The following is a 23,144-nucleotide window of genomic DNA, read 5'->3' on the forward strand; positions in this document are numbered from 1 at the left end:
CGCACCTGGCCTGTCTTTCGATTTTTAATGCCTGCATGGTAATGTGTCATAATGATGTACATTATTCTACTTAATTTAGGTTACTGTAAAAATGTTTACGATGATAAAAATGCTGCAATTAGTATTCCTTGTGTGTGCAGAAATGCATAATTTCCCAAAGTGAAATGACTGGGTAGTACTTTTTAGGGCTTAGGTCCTGATTCTCTAATAAGTCTCCAGAAAAGTTGTACTAATCCATGTATCTATCAGTAGAGTAAGATGGTGCCTGCTTCCCTGAACCCTGGCCAACTTTGGCTATTATAAAATATAAACATGCAAGCAAGTGTGTGTACAGCCATATCTAGATGGAAATTTAATGGGTGGAAATGGTATTTAATTGTTTCAATTTGCATTTCTAGTGCAGATTACTCCTGAACGTCAACAGTTTTCTGTTAGCTGTTGGCATTTTCTCTTTGTAAATTATCTGTGGTTCTCAGCATGATTTTCTAAAGGGCTGTTTCTCGTTTTCATATTTACTTATAAAACCCTCTTTCTATTAAGCACATTAACTTAGTTTTGTCATATATGCAAATATGAGCTTCTGTGGAACCCTTTCAAATGACTAGAAATTCAAGGGGGAGTTTAAAGAAAAAAACACATGAAATGGGATGGTCAACTTACATTTTATTAATAAAGGCAGCAGGTTTCTCTCTTCCTTGAAAAGTTCGCTATCCAGACTGTGTGCCAAGAAGCAGATGTGTGAAAGAGAGTCTGGACTTTGAAGTTAGACTGGATTTCAGTCCTAGCAGTGTCACTCTCTAGCTGAGGGACCTGGGGCAAATTAGCCTCTGCAAGTCTCAGATGTCACTCCTGGGTAACAAGAATCCCTCTGGCCTTGTCTGGAGAGGTCAGTAGCTTATAGGTAGTGCATGGTGCAGAGGTGGTGTTCTGTAAATATTCATTCCCTTTCCGCATCCCTCAAAGATGTGCTGTTCTAGACACTCACACATCTATGTATTCTGTTTCAATAAGGAATGTACGTATTTCACTCGGCTGATAGTCACAAATGAAATCATTCATTAATATTTTCCAAATAGGTAAATATGATAAATGTATAAATGAGAATAGAAAACTTCTTAGTTAACCATGTGTATCTGAGTCTAGGAGCAATTTTAATTTTCAAGCTCAGGGATAATATCAGCAAATTAGGATCTGTTTTATAAAAGTGGTAGACAACGTAAGATACGGCATTCTGGAGAAAAATGGAACAGGCGGCCTCATATCCTCAAAAATATTTTGATTTTAAACAGCTTTAAACAAAATCTCAAAATACTTGCACTCTTTCATTGAGAACTTAGGTCTTAATCTGTTCTTTTTTCCCTTCTAGGTGTGGCTGGATCTCCTAAAACCCATTGTGAAACAGATTAGAAGTGAGTATATACCATATGTTTAATAGTGATGTGAAATCTGAAGCCAGACAGTTTCATGTCTAGACATCTCTTGCCCTGTGGCATGAAGCACTAGAAACACAAATTCTTCTACCCCATAATTGCTTTTCATCATCGACTAATCCGTGTACTATTAAAATGTGTGTCTTCTGCAGTTTTAATGTGTAACAGTTTGGTAATCAAAACCGAGCTTGGAAAATAAAATATCATTTTGATTAACAACTGAAGCCTGCTATTATCTTAAACCCCAGAATAATTGAGCTTGTCTTGTCTATGCCATTGTTCCTTTCTGTCACTTTCGAAGGGAAGAGGTGGAGCCATTTATTCATAAAATTGTTTTTAGGTTTTTGGTCCTTCCTCTTCAAAGCCTGTGAAATCAGAATGCAGGTATTGTTTGGGAAAAAGAGTGGCCGAAAGTGTGAGTGTGTGTGTGTATGTGGTGTGTGTGTGTGTGTGTGTGTGTTTCTGAGTAGCAAGCAGAGCCCTGAAGGGAGGCTGGCATGTATGCATTTAGACTGTGTGTTGGAAAGAAAAGATTAAGGAATGTGTAGGGGAGGAACAAAGAAAAAGAATGCTTCCTTTTTCTCTCTCTTCTTGTGTCTTCCCCTCTCTATGCTTTGAGCTAAAATTCAGCATCAAGCTCTGGTCCCAATGTCATCCCAAATGGCCCTTCAATGTAGTCAGAGTCTGGACAAAAATCTGAGAATACTGTATCCTTTTAGTTGAGCATGAAGCTTACAGTACCTATGGGATCATTTGTATGTCTGATTAAGAAACCCCACTGGGCCACTTACAGCAATTGATGTGGATGTAATAAACACGCAGCACAATTTCTGTGTGGCCCGTGTGCAATTGAAATTGATGTTGATCATCTACAATTTCAATTAAGCAGTTACTTATAATAATTATACTGACAATGAAATGGCCATCATTTAATATTTGCTGGGTGTCCTGAGCATGGCTGGCAGGCAACGACTAGTGTTGGGGGCGAAGAGAAGCCCCCCAGCCTCATGGGCCCAGGTAGCATAGAGTCTAGGAGATCGACATTTGTCCCCCGCATGAAGGGAACTGCTAACAGTGGCAAGGTATATCTTTGGCGCAGACCTGAAGACAGAGTTGACTCTGGTTGGGTCAGAGCTGGAGCATTACTGTAGTTGTCTCCTCCATATGCTGTGACAGGCCATGTGTGACAAAGCTGTCACTTGGCATTGAGTGCTAGCATCTTCCTAGTTTCAAGTTTTCTAAGGATCTGAGTAGCCGCTCAGTGAAAATCGCAGAGAATAAGTGGTGCAGCCTTCTCGTCTTCCTCATTTTGCTGCTGTTATTTTGTGCTCCAGAATTGACATGTAAGAGTTTGTTAATTTTAATGCCTTGTTTTTTTCTCCCAATTTTGTACATATTGTCAACATCTTTATTGTATGTCATTTTTGCTTTTTTTAAACTTGAATATGTGATCACAGAAATTATAATACATAATTAGTATTTGTATATGATAGTGAAAAGTAAAACAGACATTTTTCTGCTTTTGTAATAGGACAGTTAAAATTTAGATTTCATTATAGTACCTTATATTTCATAGAACATAAATGTATTGCTATCATTCCAAAGGGCAGACCTTTTAAGATGGCTTATATTGTAGCTTACACATCAAAACAAAAAAACTCCAATGCAAATCACAGATGATGATGATGATGATGATGATGATGATGATGATGATTGAGATGGAGTCTTGCTCTCTCACACCAGGCTGGAGTGCAGTGGCACGATCTCTGCTCACTGCCATCTCCACTTCCTGGGTTCAAATGAGTCTCATGCCTCAGCCTCCTGAGTAGCTGGGATTATAGGCGCCCGCCACCACGCCTGACTAATTTTTAGTACAGACAGGGTTTTGCCATCTTGGCCAGGCTGGTTTCAAACTCCTGGCCACAGATGATCCGCCCACCTCAGCCTCCCAAATTGCTGGCATGACAGGTGTGAGCCACCGCGCCTGGCCACAGATTATTATTTTATAATCTGTCTGTCCTGTTTTCTTTCTTTTTTTTTTTTTAAATTCTGAAAAGTTGTTCATCTTATTCAATCTCTCCCTCCCCTCACTCCCTATCTACTTCCTGATTTTGTCTAAACTCATTGGTAAGAGGGTTTATAAGATACTGATAAAGGCCTTGGCTGGCTGAGACAAAGCCAGGGCCACATCTGGTGTATGTTTTCCCCAGAGCTCAGAAGAGCACCTAGAGGCTGAAAACATATTTGATGAACATATTAGCAACTGTACCTTATAAATAGTTAAATATAATGAATTGCATAACTGATGTATGTTTTCATTATTTGGGTAAAACCAGCCAATTAGATACATTTTTGAAGACAAATGACTTTATTTTAAAAAACCTAGATAAAATTTAAGTCTGCAGAGAAAAAATTTAATAGCTCTATGTAGTACTTTTGTCACAGTATTTTTTAAAAATGGATCTCTCTTTCCCCACAATATGGAAGTGTGAATTAGTAGCTGAACTTGGCCAGTTGTTAAGTGACTTGGAAAATGGCAGATGTGCACTTGGCAGCTTGGAATGAGATGCATTATTTGTATTTGTAAAGTCTTTTTCTTTAATGGCATTTGAAACACAAATCAGTAAATGCTTTACTTCTTTTTTTCTTCTTCTTTAGGGCCAAAGCACGTTGTTGTTAAGTTTGTGGTGAAATTCTTTCCGCCTGACCACACACAACTCCAAGAAGAACTCACAAGGTTAGTGGTTTGGAAACTGTGTATTTTTTGCTACAGAGTACAGAGGAAAAGAGAAAATGAATGTTCTCAATTGATGACACAAACATTTTCATAATGTTTACTTGACCAGCATCTGTTCTGTACTGAACAGTTTAACCTTCCTCTTTCCCAGCCCTGCTTACAAAAATGGGGGGAGAAGTACTGTTTTCCCTAAAACTTGGTTTCTTGAAGGTTGTGATATGAAGTGAATCCTGGGCTTATACTCTGTTAATAGCACATTTTCCATCTTATATGTCACATCATGGACTGTTCTGGATGTGAATCTCTTCTGTGAAACCAACATGTCAACTCAGAGTTTGTCTTTGCCGCTGCCATGGGTGGTAGATTTGGCAGGAACTGGAGGTCAATTCTTTTCAAAGTGTGACCGCGTGGAAGAAGTGCAGGCATTGAGTCAGACCTGGCTTCGGCCACCATCCTGCCACTTGCTGTGACGGGCCAGTTACTTTCTCCCTTTGTGTTGCCATTACTTCCCCTATTACAGTGTGGACTCTAATGCTTGCTTGGCCAGAGTGGTTTTGAGGATAAGCAGTATTATACTAGAGTAGCTGGGATCCAGTAGGGACACTGTAAATGGTAACTATCAACACCACCATTGTCACCATCACCATCACTGTTTTCATTGTCGTCACCATCATCATCACCATCGTCATTATCACCATCATCACATCATCACTTCTACTCATTTTATATATACCTTTTTTTTTTTTTTGCAACAGAGTCTCTCTCTGTCGCCCAGGTTGGAGTGCAGTGACGCAGTCTCAGCTCACTGCAACCTCTGCCTCCCGGATTCAAGCGATTCTCCTGCCTCAGCCTCCTGAGTAGCTGGGACTACAGGTGCCCACCACCACACCCAGCTAATTTTATATTTTTAGTAGAGACAGCATTTCACCATGTTGGCCAGACTGGTCTCGAACTCCTGACCTCAAGTGATCCACCTGCTTCAGCCTCCCAAAATGCTGGGATTATGTGCGTGAGCCACTGCGCCCAACCTCATTTTATAATTTGAGGCAAGACTGATGGTGTTCCAAAAGAGGGCAGAGCTGGCAGGAACATGTGTGGATAAAATGATTCCCTTTGAAGAGAATCCTTCAGAGGACACTAATCTAACCAGCCTAATTCTTTTTTTTTTTTTTTTTTATCATTATTATACTTTAAGTTTTAGGGTACATGTGCACAATGTGCAGGTTAGTTACATATGTATACATGTGCCATGCTGGTGTGCTGCACCCATTAACTCCTCATTTAGCATTAGGTATATCTCCTAATGCTATCCCTCCCCGCTCCCCCCACCCCACAACAGTCCCCAGAGTGTGATGTTCCCCTTCCTGTGTCCATGTGTTCTCATTGTTCAGTTCACACCTATGAGTGAGAACATGTGGTGTTTGGTTTTTTGTCCTTGCGATAGTTTACTGAGAATGATGATTTCCAGTTTCATCCATGTCCCTACAAAGGACATGAACTCATCATTTTTTATGGCTGCATAGTATTCCATGGTGTATGTGTGCCACATTTTCTTAATCCAGTCTATCATTGTTGGACATTTGGGTTTAACCAGCCTAATTCTTGTCATACATGGTGTTCAAGCAGTGACTGTTTAATACCGAGGCCATCATATCCTTCCTCATCCCTCTCAGTACAGAGCACAGTATCTTGGGTCATCATTGATCATCATTTATCAAAGGGATGAAGATACTGATGTAATCAGCAATATTTATTAAGGGTTCCCTGTGTGCAAGCATTGTTCTAGGCACTGGGAGTGCAGTGATGAAAAGACAAGAATACTCTCATGGAAACAGACAAAGCGATTAAATAAACAAGATAATATCAGATAGCGGCAAGAACTCTTTAGGTAATTGAAGTAGGAGGATGTGATAGAGGTGCCTGGGTGATGACTTCAGGCTGGTGGGTCTGGGATGCCTCTTGAGGAAGTGAGAAGGAACCATCAGTCATTTACTGAGAGAGCTTTCTAGAGAGATGGAGCAGTCAGTACTCTGCCCAAGGCGGGAATCAGCTCCAAGCATTCAAATACATAAAGGAGGGCCAGCATGGCAGGAGTGTTGGGAGCGTCGTGGTGAGGTGGGAGAGAGGCTTGACACACATAGTGTTGAAAGATTGGCTGCCATGTGGATGTTAGGGGGAGAAGGAGAGTCCCAGGGCATCCTGTGAGGAGGCGGTCACATGGTGATGGCAAAGAAGCCACCAATAGGTAGCAGTAGAAATGGAGGCAAGTAGTTGTGTTTGGAACAGGTACCGGAAGCAGGGTCCCTCTGTCTTGGTGATGAGGTGGTGGTGGACTTTGAGGGAGGGAGAGGGGGCACTTAGATTTTTGGCTTGAGTGACTGGGGGGGAGATGGTGTTGGGGGTTACTAAAATGAGAAAAGGATGGAGGGAAGTGGAGGACTGTTGGGGAGTGGAGAGTCAGGGTGTTTCTGGCCAGGTCATGTTTGAGATACCTGTTAGCTGTCCCATGACCACAGCAGCAGCAGGAAGGACATCAGATACAGGAATGTGCAGCTCCAGGGAGACAGTGACAAAGACTTCCCACTGCTTTGTGTTTTCTGAACGTTTGTGCTGCTAATCATCCACGTCCACTTAGAACCCTCAAATCAGCGAAGAAGGCAAAGGCAGCCAGGAATTGGCAGAAAGCAGCAGCCTTCTGGGAGCTACCTGCATAGGAGGGACAGCCCGAGCTGCTAAGCCGGGTCTGCACAGGACTGAGGGCTGGCTGATGACAGGAGGGCCTTTCGCTGGGGCTGCTGGGTCTTGGTTTCTCAGGCTGGTTTTCCTGTCGTTGGAAACTGCATTGCCCTGAGCTCTGCGTGCTGAAATAAATCTAAGGGCAAGTCCAGCTGTTGGAGGAATGTAGTTGTGTTTGGAATAAGTAGCATCGGTAGCGTGCCTTTTCCTCATGTGAATCACCAGGGCTCTTTCTTGCTCAGGAAGTTGGAGGCACAAATCCTGTATCCCCTCACCCCCGCCCCCCGTTTTTTTTTTTTTTTTCATTAAAAATTCTGTTTTGCCAATAGTTTTGCACCTTTTCAATTTTTGTGAATCGTCTCTAGAGGTTTGCAGTTGGCTACCATTCTGGCCCTTGCTCTGAAACTCCATACAGCTGGTTACCATCGAGCCGCATGTGCCTGGTACATTGCCAGCTCCTCTGTCAGTGCTGATAAATTCCTAAAGTTACACGAGCTCAGCTGGACGGAGCAGGTTTTTGTTGTTTTTGTTTTCTGGCACCCAGTGTGAACTGACATTTAAGAAGTCTTTTCCAAGGAGACAGTTCTTTTGGCTCATTGTTGAATAAAATTGATCTGAAATTCCTACTTTTTTTTTTATCATCTCTCCATCACTCCCCACTTGGTACAAGGCATAGAGAACCTCATGGGGCCGATGTGTTGGGACTCTCGCATCTCAAATTCCTGTAGAAGCAAAAATGGACTGACTATTGAGATTTCAGGTGCTGTTCTTTGGCAGATGGTGAATGAGGGGATGCTGGGAGAAGCTCCATGTCAGCTGTGCTTTGTGGGGAGGGACGCATACACAGAAGTGGGACAGACGGAGAAACTGGCCTGTGGTTCAGCAAAGCATAAGTGACTCTAGCTCTGTAGTTAATGCTTTGGGCCTCCAGGAATAGCTCTTTCAGCTTCCCATTGATATAGATAGGAGATTAAATTGCACTCTTTTGTTAAACAAGAAGCTGGATTCCTTTCTATTTATTGAACTGCAGGTGGAATGCCATCCTATTGACAGCAGCACCCAGACACCTAGAAGGAGAAGCGTATTGACTCCTGGGTGCAGCCTCAAAACAACGAGTGAGGGTCTTTGGAAAAGATGATCCCAGTTTTTCTTTTTTTTTTTTTTTTTTTTTTGGCGATGGAGTCTCGCTCTGTCGCCCAGGCTGGAGTGCAATGGCACGATCTTGGCTCACTGCAACCTCCGCCTCGTAGGTTCAAGCGATTCTTCTGCATCAGCCTCCCAAGTAGCTGAGACTACAGGCACGTGCCACCACACCCAGCTAATTTTTGTATTTTTAGTAGAGACGGGGTTTCACCATATTGGCCAGGCTGGTCTCGAACTCCTGACCTCATGATCTGCCTGTCTTGGCCTCCCAAAGTGCTGGCATTACAGGCCTGAGTCGCTGCACCCTGCCACATGATCTCAGTTTTTCTTATCGTGTGGCTTGGAATCACTTTCCTTGTGCCATGTTTAGCCACCCTTTGTTCTTCCCCTTCTCTCTGGGCATCCCGTCTTCAGTTGGATCCAGCTTCTACTTGCCTGTGTTCTTATAGGTGAGGGGACCCTATCAGAACATGCTGCTCTGCGCCCTGCACGCCCTACTGAAGTGTTCTCTTAGACTGCAGGAGAATTCTAAATTGCTTATATGTAATAAGAAAAGAGGGAAGATGGTGGTTTTCCAGATGAAATAAATTATTCATATTGAAAGCAAGGCATCAAATGGGTGTGACATGTGACTCTTGCAGTCCCTAGGAGTGAAGTCCCTCTGTCTGCTCCTGCCATAATCGTTGTCCTCTCCTCACATGAGAGGTGGACTCTCCTCACGTCCACTCTTCTGCTAAGGAAACTTGATTCCATTTTGAGCGCTTTATGTTTTCATTGTGTTTACCGGTTCAGTTTTATTTAGTGCTCACCAAGTAAAACTTAGCCTCTAGCTCGCGTGAGACTGATTGGAATTGCTTCAGTGGACAGTACTAAAGGTGTTGCAGAATCTCTAAAGTTAGCATCGCGGCCAGCATGCTCAGCTTACAGCTCATGGTAAGAAAAGTGGACAGAGTTAGTACCCAGGAAGCTACTTCTCATGTTACAAGGGCCTTGGATCAGGAAGAGTCCATGTAATCAGGGGGAGTCACGTTCTTCCTTCAGCCTTCAAAATAGCCTTGTGCTCTCCCAGTAAACGTGTGTGTTTTCAGAACCTGATGCCATCTCGCAGCCCATGTGTGATTGTCACCAAAGGTCCCCAGAGCCTGCCAGACTGCCCATGCGTTTGTCCCTGAAAACCTCTTTGTGAACACAGAAACTCATGTTTGAAATGATAAATGGTAAAATATTCAGAATGTAATTTTAAAACAGGTAAAATATTCAGAATGTCATTTTAAAACATGAAGCCCTCCTATTTAATGAAAAACCGATTAGAAATTTGTAGCTCTACAAAGTGTTGGGCTCAAAAGACAGTGACTATAATCCAGCACGATAGTTTGTATTCCCACCTCCCACATGAGGTTTAGATTGTTTTATATTCTCTGCTTTTCTTCCCTTTGACTTTCCAGAGACAGACAGACAGACACACACACACACACACACACACACACACACACACACACACACACACAGAAAGGGGGTTGCGGGGAGAGACAGAAGGGTAGAGCAAGAGAACAAGAATAAAATTAGGGAGGTCAGAGAAAGTCCCACTGGTAGGTCTGTAGTCTGTAGGGCACTTTTTGCTGGTTATACAATTGCTGCTGTGGTTTTTTAGTTCTTAATAATAAAATTTCCTAAATGACTTAAAATGGATTATTCTTTTATTTTTAAAAACTGCCAACTTTTATTGAATATTTTTGTTCTAATAGTGTTTTCCATGTATCTCATTTAATTCTTATGGAAACCTCTATAGCTAATACTATTAAAGGCCCTTTTGAAAATCAAAAATACCCTTTCATTATTATAATAGTAGTAAACATACATTGTAGAAAGTTAGAATAGACAAATGAATAAGACTAAGAAAGTAGAAACATTGCATTCCCATTGCCCGTCACATTAGTAAGATATCCTTTCTGAATTTTTCTATGCATACATATGTACTTTTCATCTCATCTAATACATTGGCCATATTCACATTTCCCTATTTATCCCCTAACTGTCCTTTGTATCTGTTTATTCTAAAATAAGGTTGGCTAGGCACAGTGGCTCACATCTGTAATCCCAGCACTTTGGGAGGCTGAAGCAGGAGGATGTCTTGAGCCTAGCAGTTTGAGACCAGCCTGGGCAACACAGGGAGACCTGTCTCTACAAAAAATTTTAAAAATTAGCTGGGCATGGTGGTGTGTACCTGTAATCACAGCTACTCTGGAGGCTGAGGCAGGAGGATTGCTTGAGCCCCCAGAGGTTGAGGCTGCAGTGAGCAGTGATTGTACCACTGCACTCCAGCCTGGAAAACAGAGCAAGACTCTGTCTCAATCAGTCAATTAATCAATCAATTAAAAAAAACAGATCCACTCTAGGACCACATATTGCATCTAGTTAGTATGTCATCTGGGCCTATGTAAGTTAGTCCCTCATTTTCTTTTCCTCATGATAGCATCTTGTTGAAGAAACTGGACCAGCTACACTACACAGTATCCTACTTTCTGAATTTGCCTGCTAGCTTTCTTGTGGTGCTGTTTAACTTGTTCCTCTATCCTTTGTATTTTTCCAAAACTGGAAGTCATAGTCTGTTCTATGCTGCTATAAAGGAATACCTGAGGCAGGGTAATTTATAAAGAAAAAAGGTTTATTTTGCTCATGATTCTGGATGGCTAAAAAGTTCAAGATTGGGCATTGACATCTGCTGAGGGCCTCAGGCTGCTTCCACTCGTGGTAGAAGGCAAAGGGGAGCTGGCATGTGCAGAGATCACATGGTGGGAGAGGAGGTGGGTGGAACAGGGAGGTGCTAGGCTTTTTGTAACAACCAGCTCTCACAGGAAGTAACAGAGTGAGAACTCACTCACCCCCAAGGGAGGTTATTAGTCTATTCATAAGGGATCTGCCTTGACAACCCAAACACCTTTCACTGGGCCCCACCTCCAGCACTCAGGATGAAATCTCAACATGAGGTTTGGAGAGGACAGGAAATTCATTCTAGGGCTTGACTGATACACTTAAACATTTGGGCTGGAGTCTGTCATAAGTGATGTTGTGTGCTTCATATTTCATTAATGATTAGAGATTGTTCATTGGATTCAGGTGGTGACATTCTGATTATTCTTTTGCCAGGTAAAGTCATATTTCCTTTGCCCTATGTGACTGTCCAGTCTCCTACATGGTTTTTTCACCCATTGATAATCCTGGCTGGAGTCAATAATTTCTTTAGAGTTTGTGGAATGAGGATTTTCTAATTCTATTATTCTTGCTATGTTATAAATTGGCACTTACAATTTTTTTGCCAAATACTTGAGGCAAAATTTTACTTTATGGGAGATAAACCTGTAAAACCTTTCTTCAACTACTTGGCTGTCCTGAAACACCCTTTCCTCTGGCCAGGCAGGTTACACACTCAATTCTTTGCCTTGGGTTACCAATTTTAAATAAGGAGATGCTTTGATCTGCCTGGAATCTACCATGTCTCCAAGGCCCTATCTCTCTATCCTTCCAACAGGTAATTGTTTTTTGTTGTTTTTATTGTTTTTGTTTTTGTTTTGAGACGGAGTTTCGCTCCTGTCACCCAGGCTGGAGTGCAGTGGTGCAATCTCGGCTCACTGCAACCTCCACCTCCCGGATTCAAGTGATTCTTCTGCCTCAGCCTCCCGAGTAGCTGGGATTACAGGGGCGCATCACCACACCCGGCTAATTTTTATATTTTTAGTAGAGACAGGGTTTTGCCATGTTGTCCAGGCTGGTCTTAAACTCCTGACTTCAGGTGATCCACCCGCCTCGGCCTCCCAAAGTGCTGGGAGCCACAGCGTGCGGCCCCAACAGGTAATTGTAAGAGGGACAGAATCTGATTGCAAAGGGTGCTACTGAGAGGACACTGTTCTCAGGCAGCAGGTAAACTAGATATCTAAAAATCTATGAGTTTGTATCATTATTTTCACATCCATTTTAACATTGTACAGGTTCGGTTTGGTTTTGTCTTGCTGCGGGGCAGGGGGTGGTATCTATGACCTTAAGTATTTATCCTTTGTGTTACAAACAATCCAATTATACTCTTCATTATTTTTAAAGTATAGTAAATTATTATTGACTGTAGTCACCCAGTTGTGCTATCAAATATTAGATCTTATTCATTCTATCTCATTTTTTTGGACCCATTAACTATCCCCACTCCCTCTACCTTTACCAGCCTCTGGTAACTTCATTCTGCTCTCTCTTTCCATGAGTTCAATTGTTTTAATTTTTAGCTCCCAAAAATAAGTGAGAATATGTGAAGTTTGTTTTTCTGTGCCTGGCTTATTTCACTTAACATAATGACCTCCAGTTCCAATCATGCTGTGCAAATGACAAGATCTCCTTGTTTATGGCTGAATAGTAATCCACTGTGTATACATACCCCATTTTCTTTGTCCGTTCATCTGTGGATGGACACTTAGGTTTCCTCCAAATCTTGGCTGTTGTGAATGGTGCTGCAGTAAACATGGGAGTGCAGATATCTCTTTGACATACTGTTTTCCTTTCTTTTCGGTACACACCTAGTACTGGGATTGCTGGGTCATATGGTAGCTCTATTTTTAGTTTTTTCAGGAACCTCCAAACTGTTCTCTATCGTGGTTGTACTAATTTACATTCCCGCCGATAGTACTTGAGGGTTTTTTGTGTTTTTTTTTTTTTTTTTTTTGCCACATCCAAGCATTTGTTACTGCCTATCTTTTGGATATGAGCCATTTTAACTGGGGTGAGATGATATCTCATTATAATTTTGATTGCATTTCTCTGATGATCAGTGATGTTGAGCATCTTTTCATAAGCCTGTTTGCTGTTGCACAGTTTTTACTTAATGTCTTTGATTTGCAAATGTATTTTTTATCTTACACCAAAAATGTTGACATGCTTAATACCACAATATAAAGAAAAGAAATGAATGGGTGCAGTGGGTCATGCTTGTGATCCCAGCACTTTGGGAGGCCGAGGTGGGCAGATCATGAGGTCAAGAGATCGAGACCATCCTGGCCAACATGGTGAAACCCCGTCTCTACTAAAAATACAAAAAATTAGCTGGGCGTGGTGGCGTGCACCTGTAGTCCCAGCTACTCGGGAGGCTGAGGCAGGAGAATTGCTTGAACAAGGGAGGTGGAGGTTTCAGTGAGGCGAGATCACGCCACTGCACTCCAGCCTGGCGACAGAGCGAGACTTTGTCTCAAAAAAAAAAAAAAGAAAAGAAAATGAATTTTTACAAATCTTGTAACTGGGTCCTATGGAAGTAGTTACACCACAAAAAAAAAAAAAAAAATGACGCCCCCTTGTTTTTCTCATTTCATTGGCAATCCTCTGACTCACCATAATAAACTACTGTTATTGTCTGAGCCATAGAACCATGTTAGAGTATGGATGACTGATTCTGTGAAAAAAATGTAAATATTTCCTGTACGCTACAAAAATATATAGCATGCTAGGTTATGGTCTCACATTTTTATGGCTCTCTCTCCCTATGTAAAATGAAACATATTATTCATACTGTGAAAAGATGATAGCATACATCTCTTTGTATTTTGGAGGGAGATATTTACACTGCAGTGAATGGCAGCTGGAATCCGTTCCAGCCCATGCAGACTTCGTGGTTGGGGTTTGCATCCCTCTCCTTGGCCTCTCATGGTGAGGCCAGGTTCCCGGTGACCTCCTGCCCTCTTTGCCTGACGCCCAGCTCTGTTGATCTTCGCAGGTACCTGTTCGCGCTGCAGGTGAAGCAGGACTTGGCTCAAGGCAGGTTGACGTGTAATGACACCAGCGCAGCTCTCTTGATTTCACACATTGTGCAATGTAAGTTCTATTGGTTTCCTTTGAAAATCATGTTCAAAATAACACAGTGATCTGATTGATGGGAAAAAAATCACATCCACCAAAAAAGAAAGTGTCAATGTTTTTGTGTTATTTTTGCTGTTCGTATGAAGGCCTACGGGTGGAAGAGAAAAACAATACTCCTGATGTCATTTAATATGCATATCCCCAAATGTTAACTCTTGTACTTTCTGTTCAGGTGTTTGTCTTTCTTCAAGGACTAGTACGCAGTTGATACTTCAGTTGTCTTAAAGGATAAGCTTGGATGGATGGTTGCCAAATAGACTAAACTTGTTCTGTCCTGTTCTTGGATTTAAACTTTATCATTGAATATGGCATAGTAGCCTTAAGACATAATACTGCCACCGATTTCACTTCTCTCTAGAGATTTTTGCTCTTCAGAATTCAGTAAACCAAGACTCATGCTGGATTAATGGAGCTGGACCCTAGATATTTTAATTTGCCTTAATATAGACAAAGGATGAATCAGATTATGCTCATCTCCAGGCTTGCTGACAAGCCACCTGGGTGTTTTTTCCCTCTTGACCAAGGCAGAAATTACTTGAAATAAAATATACACATTATGTTTCAGAAAGGTAATTGTGGGTATAATACTTAATGTATAATAAGCACTACTATAAAGGAAAGTTGTGCTATCATATCACCTTTTACATTTCCACTGTATATGAATTCGTCTCATATAATCAGTCCCCTCCTATCCTGATATGTGCCTAGTTCACTAGATTTACAAAGGTTTATAGGAAGTGTCTCTCTCAGTAGTCAAAAAGTTGCCTTAGTCTGATACAGTAAGGTGTTTCAGATGATGTGTATCTTCTTGTTTTTTGAATATGAGCACTTATTAGATAGATGTTTTCTTACCAATTTGAAAAAAATGACATGGGCAAGAAAAAAACAAAAAAATAGGTATCTTTATTAAGCCTGACCATGTGCCAGCACTATATATATATATATAATATATATATAATATATACAATATATAATCTATATATAATATATATATAATATATACAATATATAATCTATATATAATATATATATAATATATACAATATATAATCTATATATAATATATATAATATATACAATATGTAATCTATATATAATATATAATATATGTAATATGTAATCTATATATAATATATATATAATATATAATCTATATATAATATATATATAATATATAATCTATATATAATATATATATAATATATAATCTATATATAATATATATAATATATAATATATATATAATATATAATATATAATCTATCTATATATAATCTATATATAATCTATATATATAATCTCATTTAATTCTCCTAACAGCCCCTTGAGATCAAGTCTGTCATTATCCTTATTTTACAGGGGAGGAATCCTTAGCACAGAACTTAATGTAATTTTTATCTTTCTTGTGTTTGTTCTCCCCTCTTCATAAAATGATAGTGGAGAGGGAGAGGAGGGAGAGGAGGCTTTGAGTCTGGCAGACCTGATTTCTGTTCGTTGGTTGGTGACCCTGGCAGCTTACTAACCCCCCAGCCTCCATTTCTTTTGGAACATGAGAATAATAGAATCCTTTTCATAAGGCTGTAAAAATTAAATGGTAGCATACACAGTTGTCCTTTAATGTCCATGGGGTATTGGCTGCAGGACCTCCCAAGGACACCAAAAACTGAGGATGCTCACGTCCCTGATATAAAATGGTGTCGTATTTGCATATAACCTACATATATCCTCCCATAGACTGTAAATCATCTCTAGGTTACTTATAATAATTAATCCAATGTAAATGCTATGTAGTTACATTGTATTATTCAGGGAATAATGACAAGAAAAAATATCTTAGATGTTTGGTATAGATGCAGTATTTTTTCCTAAGTATTTTCAATGCATGGTTGGTTGAATCCATGAATATGGAACCCACAGATAGAGAGGGCCAGCTGTATACCCAGTACATGCTAGGTATTCAGTAAACATTAATTTCCTTTATCCTTATTCACCTGCAACCCTCCTTTTCCAAACAACATGAAACTTTAAAATGAAGCTTCCTTATTGAAATAGTAACTTCATAAAATGTCTCTGACCCTTGGCATTTTGTAAGCAGAAGAGAAATTGATCTTACTCAAAGATTCCTGATGCCATTGAGTCGTGTACTTCTTTCCTCCTATGTTTTTTTCTTTAAAGGTCTGTTACACTAAAGAGTAGATTTTGGCCAGGCATGGTGGCTCACGCCTGTAATCCCAGCACTTTGGGAGGCCGAGGCGGGCGGATCACTTGAGGTCAGGAGTTCGTGACCAGCCTGGCCAAGATGGTGAAACCTTGTCTCTACTAAAAATACAAAAATTAGCTGGGTGTGGTGGCGGTGGGCGCCTGTAGTCCCAGCTACTTGGGAGGCTGAGCCAGGAGAATCACTTGAAACTGGGAGAAACCCCACTGCCCTCCAGCCTGGGCGACAGAGTGAGACTCTGTCTAAAAAAAAAAAAAGAAGAAGAGTGGATTTTAAGTGTTCTCACCACAAAAATAAATAAATAAATATGGGCAGTAATACATATGTTAATTAGCTTAATTTAGCCATTTCACAATGTGTACATATATCAAAAGATGATGTTCACTATAAATATATCCCCCCCAAAATTTTTTTTTTAGACAGTCTCTGTCACCCAGATTGGAGCGTAGTCTCTCAATCATGGCTCACTGCAGCCTCGACCTCCTGGAATCAGGCAATCCTCCTGCCTCAGCCTCCTGAGTAGCTGGGACTCTAGGCACATGCCATCAGGTCTAGCTAATTTTTTCTTTTATTTTTTTGTAGAGCTGAGGTCTCACTGTGTTGCCCAGGCCAGTCTCAAACTCCTGAGCTCAAGTGATCTTCCCACCTTGGCCTCACAAAGTGCTGGGATTATAGGCATGAGCCACCATGCCTGACCAATATGTATAATTTTTATTTTGTCAATTAAAAAAGTAAATTAAAAAAAATAAAGGTCTGTTAACAATAGTGAATTTCACTTGCATATCTGGGAGTGGAGATTCGCTGACATCCAGAAAACCATGGTCTCAGTCCAGTATACCATTTTCCCCCCAGAAACCAGCAAGTGGCTCAAAATCCCCAAAGAATCTTCCCTTCTCAAAAGGCAAATAGATGGGATGAGAAGTTCCTCTGCTGTTTACATGGTATTTGACATACAGTCATGAGACACATAATATTCTTAAAATCTTCCGATATGTGTAAGGCCCCATTTCTGCATTTTTAAGTATCCCATGCACTCAGTCATGAAAGGAGGCATTTCATAGAGTCTTCTGTGGATTGTGTCGTGATTTCAATTATTGGTGATTATTGGTAAGGTATAAGGGGTCAAGTCATCTCCCTTTGGCAGAAACTATATTACCCCTAATGGAAAATTATCTCTGGTAAGCTGATGTTCATCTTGTCCGTCTCTATACACACAATCTGCTGTCGTCTTATTTTCCTCCCTTCTTTGGCTTGAATGCATAGAGTCTTTAAGATAGTCTGTATTTTTTCATTTGTTCCTCCGTCACTGGCCTTGCATCTTCCCTGCAGTATTTTGAACTTAATTTTCTCTAATTTATTTTGGATTGACTAAGAAGGACAAGCTGATGAAGAGAAGAATCAGCTACTAGTTGGCCCTGATGTAAAGAGCACACGTGGGCAGCATGGAGGCGAGGCAGGGCTGCGTTTGTGCAGGTCGTGTGGTCCTTGCTCTGAGGGTTCCGCGTGGTAAGGCAGGTTTGTCCACGCCTGTCCTCTGGGGAAGTTGCATCCATTTATTAAAATCACAGGATTTTGGTTTGCTGCTGTTTTTCCTATTAATTACTTTGCTGAGTAGACTGCTAAGGAATATAGTATATGCATAAGCTGATGTGACACTTTCAGCATAAAACATTTAAAAAATAGGAAGTCAGCTGGGTGCGGTGGCTCATGTCTGTAATCCCAGCGCTTTGGGAGACCCAGGCAGGAGGATCTCTGGAGGCCAGGAGTTCAAGACCAGCCTAGGCAACATAGTGAGACCTCGTCTGTACAAAAACAAAATTAGCTTGAGGCCAAGAGTTCAAGACTAGCCTGGGCAACATAGTGAGAGCCTGTCTCTACTCAAAATAAAAAAAAAAAATAGCCAGGTGTGGTGGTATGTGGCGGTAGCCCCAGGTACTTGGGAAGCTGAGGTGGGAGGGTCACTTGAACCCTGAAGTCAAGGCTGCAGTGAGCCGTGATCGCTCCACCGCACCCCAGCCTGAGTGACAGAGCGAGACCCTGTCTTGGAAAAAATAAAAGGAAGTCAGATTTTGAGTATGTGTCTGTTTTCAAATTCCAGAAATTTAAGGAGCAGCCTATTTCCACATTTCAAAGAGGAGAAATGTGGGGAGCGAATGAGTTTCATAGTCATGTCACTATGGCGTGACAGGAGGGCAAGAAAAGACAAGCGACCCAGAAGAAAAGAGAATTAGACGTCTCCACCCTGATGCCAAAGGAAAAACTGGACCATTCGGCTCTCTTTATATGGAATGATGGGAAAGAGTGTGTTCTAAGATTCATAGGAATTAAGAAGCCCAAACATAAAGCTCACAAGACATTTCGGATTTAAGGAATTCCTCCATAGATAGTCAGGGCTCATTATTCTCAGATTCTGTCTGAAAATTCGCTTATTTACTTGTAACCCCCAAATCAACACTCATGCGCTTTCACGGTCATTTGTGGATGGCGAAAATTTGGAGTCACCTGATGTGCATTCCCAGTGGAGGTCAAACGAGGCAAAGCTCTGCCTTCTGTTTTTTTTTTCTCGTACTGTTAATAAGTATCCTTTTCATGGTCTATTTAGTGCCACGCTTTTCGCATTTTTGTGCATGTTTTTGGTGATTTCACTGTTTAAAGCAGTCCCCAGGCGTTGTGCTGAAGCGCTGTCTGTCTTGTGTCCCCGCGTGCAGTGCTATCTGCCTGATAGAGCAAATGTGTGTTAGGTAAGCATCGTTCAGGCATGAGTTCAGCTGCTGTTGGCCATGAGCTCAATGTGAAGAAATTGGCAAAGTATATTTAAGATGGCTTTCAACAGAAACACACATAAGATACGGCCAGTTAACTAAAATGTTGTTTCAAGACTACTCTAGGAACCTCACCCCGTATTTCCCCTAGGAGAAATGATTCAGGAATGGCTAATTCAGTGTTTATGGTAACCTTGTAGATCATAACTGCCTCGAATAATGAGCATCAACTGCATTTCCTTGAGAACCAGATAGAAGGAATTGCAGAGAAGCCAGGCCCTCTATTGTCAAGGCAACATATAACGATGGCAGTATGACCAGGCGTGCCCCCATTTCTGTGCCATTTTCTGTGATGGAGCGTGGCAATTTTACTCTATTTAGGAAGGGAGAAATCAGTCCAGAAAAGGCAATTAGGAAATAGTGTTGTTGGTCTTTCGGATGATGAGGAAGCGAGGGAGGGAGGGGTTCTTCCAGTGCACCGGCTGCTGCCAGGTGAGTTGGCATGGCTTTGTGCAGAACAGATATCCTCAGTGGGTGTGATTGATGGCAACATCCAGGCCATGTCCTGCTTGATTGCTGGAGTGCATTGCCCTAAGTGTGACAAGCTGCTTCATGTGACAGAATGAAAGGTGAGTTTCATAGCAACAGTTCCCTTGGTTTTTATCAAAACAGCTGGGCTCTGGTCATTAGACTATTTTTTATGAAGCTTGTTATACAGTATATGTGATACAAAGAAAAAGGTGTGCTGTCTCAGAGGTGTAACAATTGGTGTACATTGACCTTGAACTAGTGTTGTTAAGGCGCAAGTCTGATTTTAAAGCTCTATCCTTTAACTTTCCACATTCCAGCAGTATTGAGGACTGTCTTGAGGTTATGTGAGAATCATATTTCTCACAGATAAAAACGTGTAAGACTTTGCAATCTGATCTGTTATTTCTGACAAGACTACGAAAAGTTTAATAAACTCATAATTTTTTTAAGCATTAGATTATCTACCTTTGCACCCACTGACGTTCCTCTTTTCTCTGCATGATAAAGCATTTGCGTTTTGCACTAGTCATTGCTAATATATAAGAGTTTCACTTTGATGTTTATAAAGTCCTGAAGTTTTAGGGCTTTTTAGGAGGTCATACGGTTGTCACCCACATGTGTAGAATTTACTGCCAAGAACCTCCCCAGGCGGATGGGGAGAAAAGAAAAACCGGGAGCAGGTATGGCTGAAGATGGATGATTCTGAGGCTTTTTTTTTTGTAGGGGGGCGGGGGGGAACATGGAGTCTTGCTCTGTCGCCCAGGCTAGAGTGCAGTGGCACGATCTTGGCTCACTGCAACCTCCACCTCCCGGGTTCAAGCAGTTCTCCTGCCTCAGCCTCCCAGGTCGCTGGGATTACAGGTGCCCGCCACCGTACCCAGCCAATTTTTGTATTTTTGGTAGAGACGAGGTTTCGCCATGTTGCCCAGGCTGATCTCGAACTCCTGACCTCAAGTGATCCACCCGTCCTGGACTCCCAAAGTGCTGAGATTACAGGCATGAGCTACTGTGCCTGACCTTGAAGCTTCTTTCTGACTGATAGAGATGAGGAGGGGAGAAAACTGTCTTCTCACATCACCACAATTGATAAATGTATCCTGGCATCCCGTCTCTGAGATCTGGCCCTTCTGATGTTCCCCACCAACTGGGCTCACCTTATGTTGTCTGCTAGCTTCTGTTTGGCTCACTGGGGAATATTGACAAACTGGGAAGTGTCATTCCTACGTGACCTGTTTTTCTTTCTGTTTCTTTTTAGCTGAGATTGGGGATTTTGATGAAGCCTTGGACAGAGAGCACTTAGCAAAAAATAAATACATACCTCAGCAAGACGCACTAGAGGACAAAATCGTGGAATTTCACCATAACCACATGTAAGTCTCATTCTTGGCTTCATATTCCCTCTGAGCCGGTTCTCTCTGCCTCCAACCTACATGGGTGTACATCCCTCCACCCCCCACACAAACTATTGTGGAGAACAACACAAAGCGTGAGGAAAGAAGATCACAGAGGCTCATTGGGATGTGGTGATTCATCCTGGGCTCTCAGAAGCACAGGTCACCCACTGAAGCCTGGAGTTTAAGGATGCCCATGCTTTGGAACAAAAGAGAAAGTAAGAGCAAAGGACCATCCAGTCATCAAGCTAATGACAAATTGGGAAAGGGACGTGGTCACCTAGGGACAAGGTCAGAGTATCGTGAAAATCCAGAACCTTCATAGCATCTGCATTTTTGTTTTTGTTTGGATTAATATTTTCAAAGGACTCATGGTACTTTTGGTTGTTGTTTTAAGGAAGCATTGGAGCCTGACGGCCATGTGAAAAAGTGTTCTCTTGAACTTTGCTTGCAGGTTTAGGTTATTGAAAGCAACTAAAATCTTGTTTTAACCCAGTGGTGTTTTGCTTTTATATGAGCTTAAAGGAAACTCTTTGAGATTCCAAAAAAAACAAAAAAAACAAAAACTGGCTGAGTTTGGAGACTTTTGGGGTTTTATGTTCCATGAGCAGTGGAGGTTTTGTCCTAGCTGCTAGACTTTGGGTTACAGTGAATGGGAGATTGGGTGTCATCTGATCGGGTAGCCCCAGTGTTTGTGATGAAATGCCTTTGTATTTCCCAGGAGAAGCTTCTTAATCTCAAATTAATAGATACAGGGAATTCAAATCTCCTGGCCTTTCTGTTTAATTTTTGTTTTGTCAGTGGACAAACACCAGCAGAATCAGATTTCCAGCTCCTAGAGATTGCCCGTCGGCTAGAGATGTATGGAATCCGGTTGCACCCGGCCAAGGACAGGGAAGGCACGAAGATCAATCTGGCCGTTGCCAACACGGGAATTCTAGTGTTTCAGGTGAGAGCCTTGAGAACACGGCCTGGTTCCCTTGGTGACAGAGAGAGAAGAGCTGGCCCTTCAACTCTGATTCATATTCAGTGGGCTAAGACCTCTGATGGTTATTTTTCGGCGAACAAAGAAAAATTAACCTCATCTCAGGCTTTCTGTTTCCCAGGCCCTCAGCTCCCAGATTCTATTTCACTTACCTTTGCCCTGTTTGGGGAATCCACATTACAGATTTGTTTGGTTTTATTGACTTTGTAGCATCACAGAAACATGTAGCTCTCCATGGACCTACACTTAGAACACAGTCTAATGGAATCGAGATTTTAGGTCCCCGAATAAACACCTTTTTCACACTTACAGATGATACTTTGCTGTAATGTGATCCTTTTTTTTTTTTTTTTTTTTTCAAACACAGTTTGGCTTGAGCCAGCTTATTTGGTCGGGACTTCAGATATACTTAAAGAGTGTTAGGCACACTTTTAAGATACAGCAGTTTTATAAATTCATAAAAGCCACATTCTTGCAATTTTGTAGCAAAACACATACTGCACTTGAATTCTTACTTGTATTCTACTTAAAGACATAATGATTCTCTGCACTCTAAAATGTGTGCTCTATTGATCATTCTGCTATTGGACTGTTTCATTGATCAATGCTTCTCTCTTAGTAGCCTTATTGAAGTATTGTTGACGTACAATAAAGTGCACACACTTGAAGTGCATAGTTTGATAGGTTTTTATTATATATATGTATATCCTGTAAAATTCCCCACAAAACCAACAGAATGAACGTATTCATCACCCCCAAAAGGCTGTTCAGTACATTCCTTTTCAACACAAGTGGGTAACCTGTGCTTTTAGTTTCAAAGGGATATAGAGAAAGCACCCGCCTTTCTCATGAAATAGGATCAGATTTCACCCAGTTAGGAAGTTGTAAATATGTTCAGGACCTAAAACCCTTTATTGAGCTCTTCCAGGTTTGCTTATATTTCCCCCTTATCTTTTATCAAAAGAGTTCCAGTGATTCTCTATTCATGCACCAGAAGTTTATGACAGCATAATTATTACAAATCACATCCCAAGAAGAGTTAAGTTGGCTTCCTGCCAGGTAGTAGGGAGTGACATTGTGAGAGCAGTGTGGTATTCAAGGCGGATTTTTTCTTGACAGTTTTTGACCTGCACGCATAGCCTCTGAGTATCGGATAAGAGAAACAATAGGCCGGGCGCGGTCGCTCACACCTGTAATCCCAACACTTTGGGAGGCTGAGACGGGTGGATCACCTGAGGTCAGGAGTTCGAGACTAGCCTGGTCAACATGGTGAAACCCCGTCTCTACTAAAAATACAAAAATTAGCTGGGCATGATGGCGTG

At 41.4% G+C, this 23,144-nt stretch overlaps 1 protein-coding gene across 2 annotated transcripts in view; it reads left to right on the forward strand.

The window, feature by feature from the left end:
• Positions 1-23,144, forward strand: part of FARP1 (FERM, ARH/RhoGEF and pleckstrin domain protein 1) — a 312,588-nt gene that overhangs the window by 221,440 nt on the left and 68,004 nt on the right. For both annotated transcript variants that reach the window (NM_001286839.2, NM_005766.4), the window contains exons 4-8: positions 1,367-1,409; positions 4,089-4,167; positions 13,793-13,890; positions 20,702-20,816; positions 21,639-21,786. In NM_001286839.2, coding sequence (NP_001273768.1) covers positions 1,367-1,409; positions 4,089-4,167; positions 13,793-13,890; positions 20,702-20,816; positions 21,639-21,786 — 483 coding nt within the window. The remainder of the gene's footprint in view (positions 1-1,366; positions 1,410-4,088; positions 4,168-13,792; positions 13,891-20,701; positions 20,817-21,638; positions 21,787-23,144) is intronic.

Source organism: Homo sapiens, chromosome 13 (assembly GCF_000001405.40).
Source record: "Homo sapiens chromosome 13, GRCh38.p14 Primary Assembly".
NCBI lineage: Eukaryota > Metazoa > Chordata > Mammalia > Primates > Hominidae > Homo > Homo sapiens.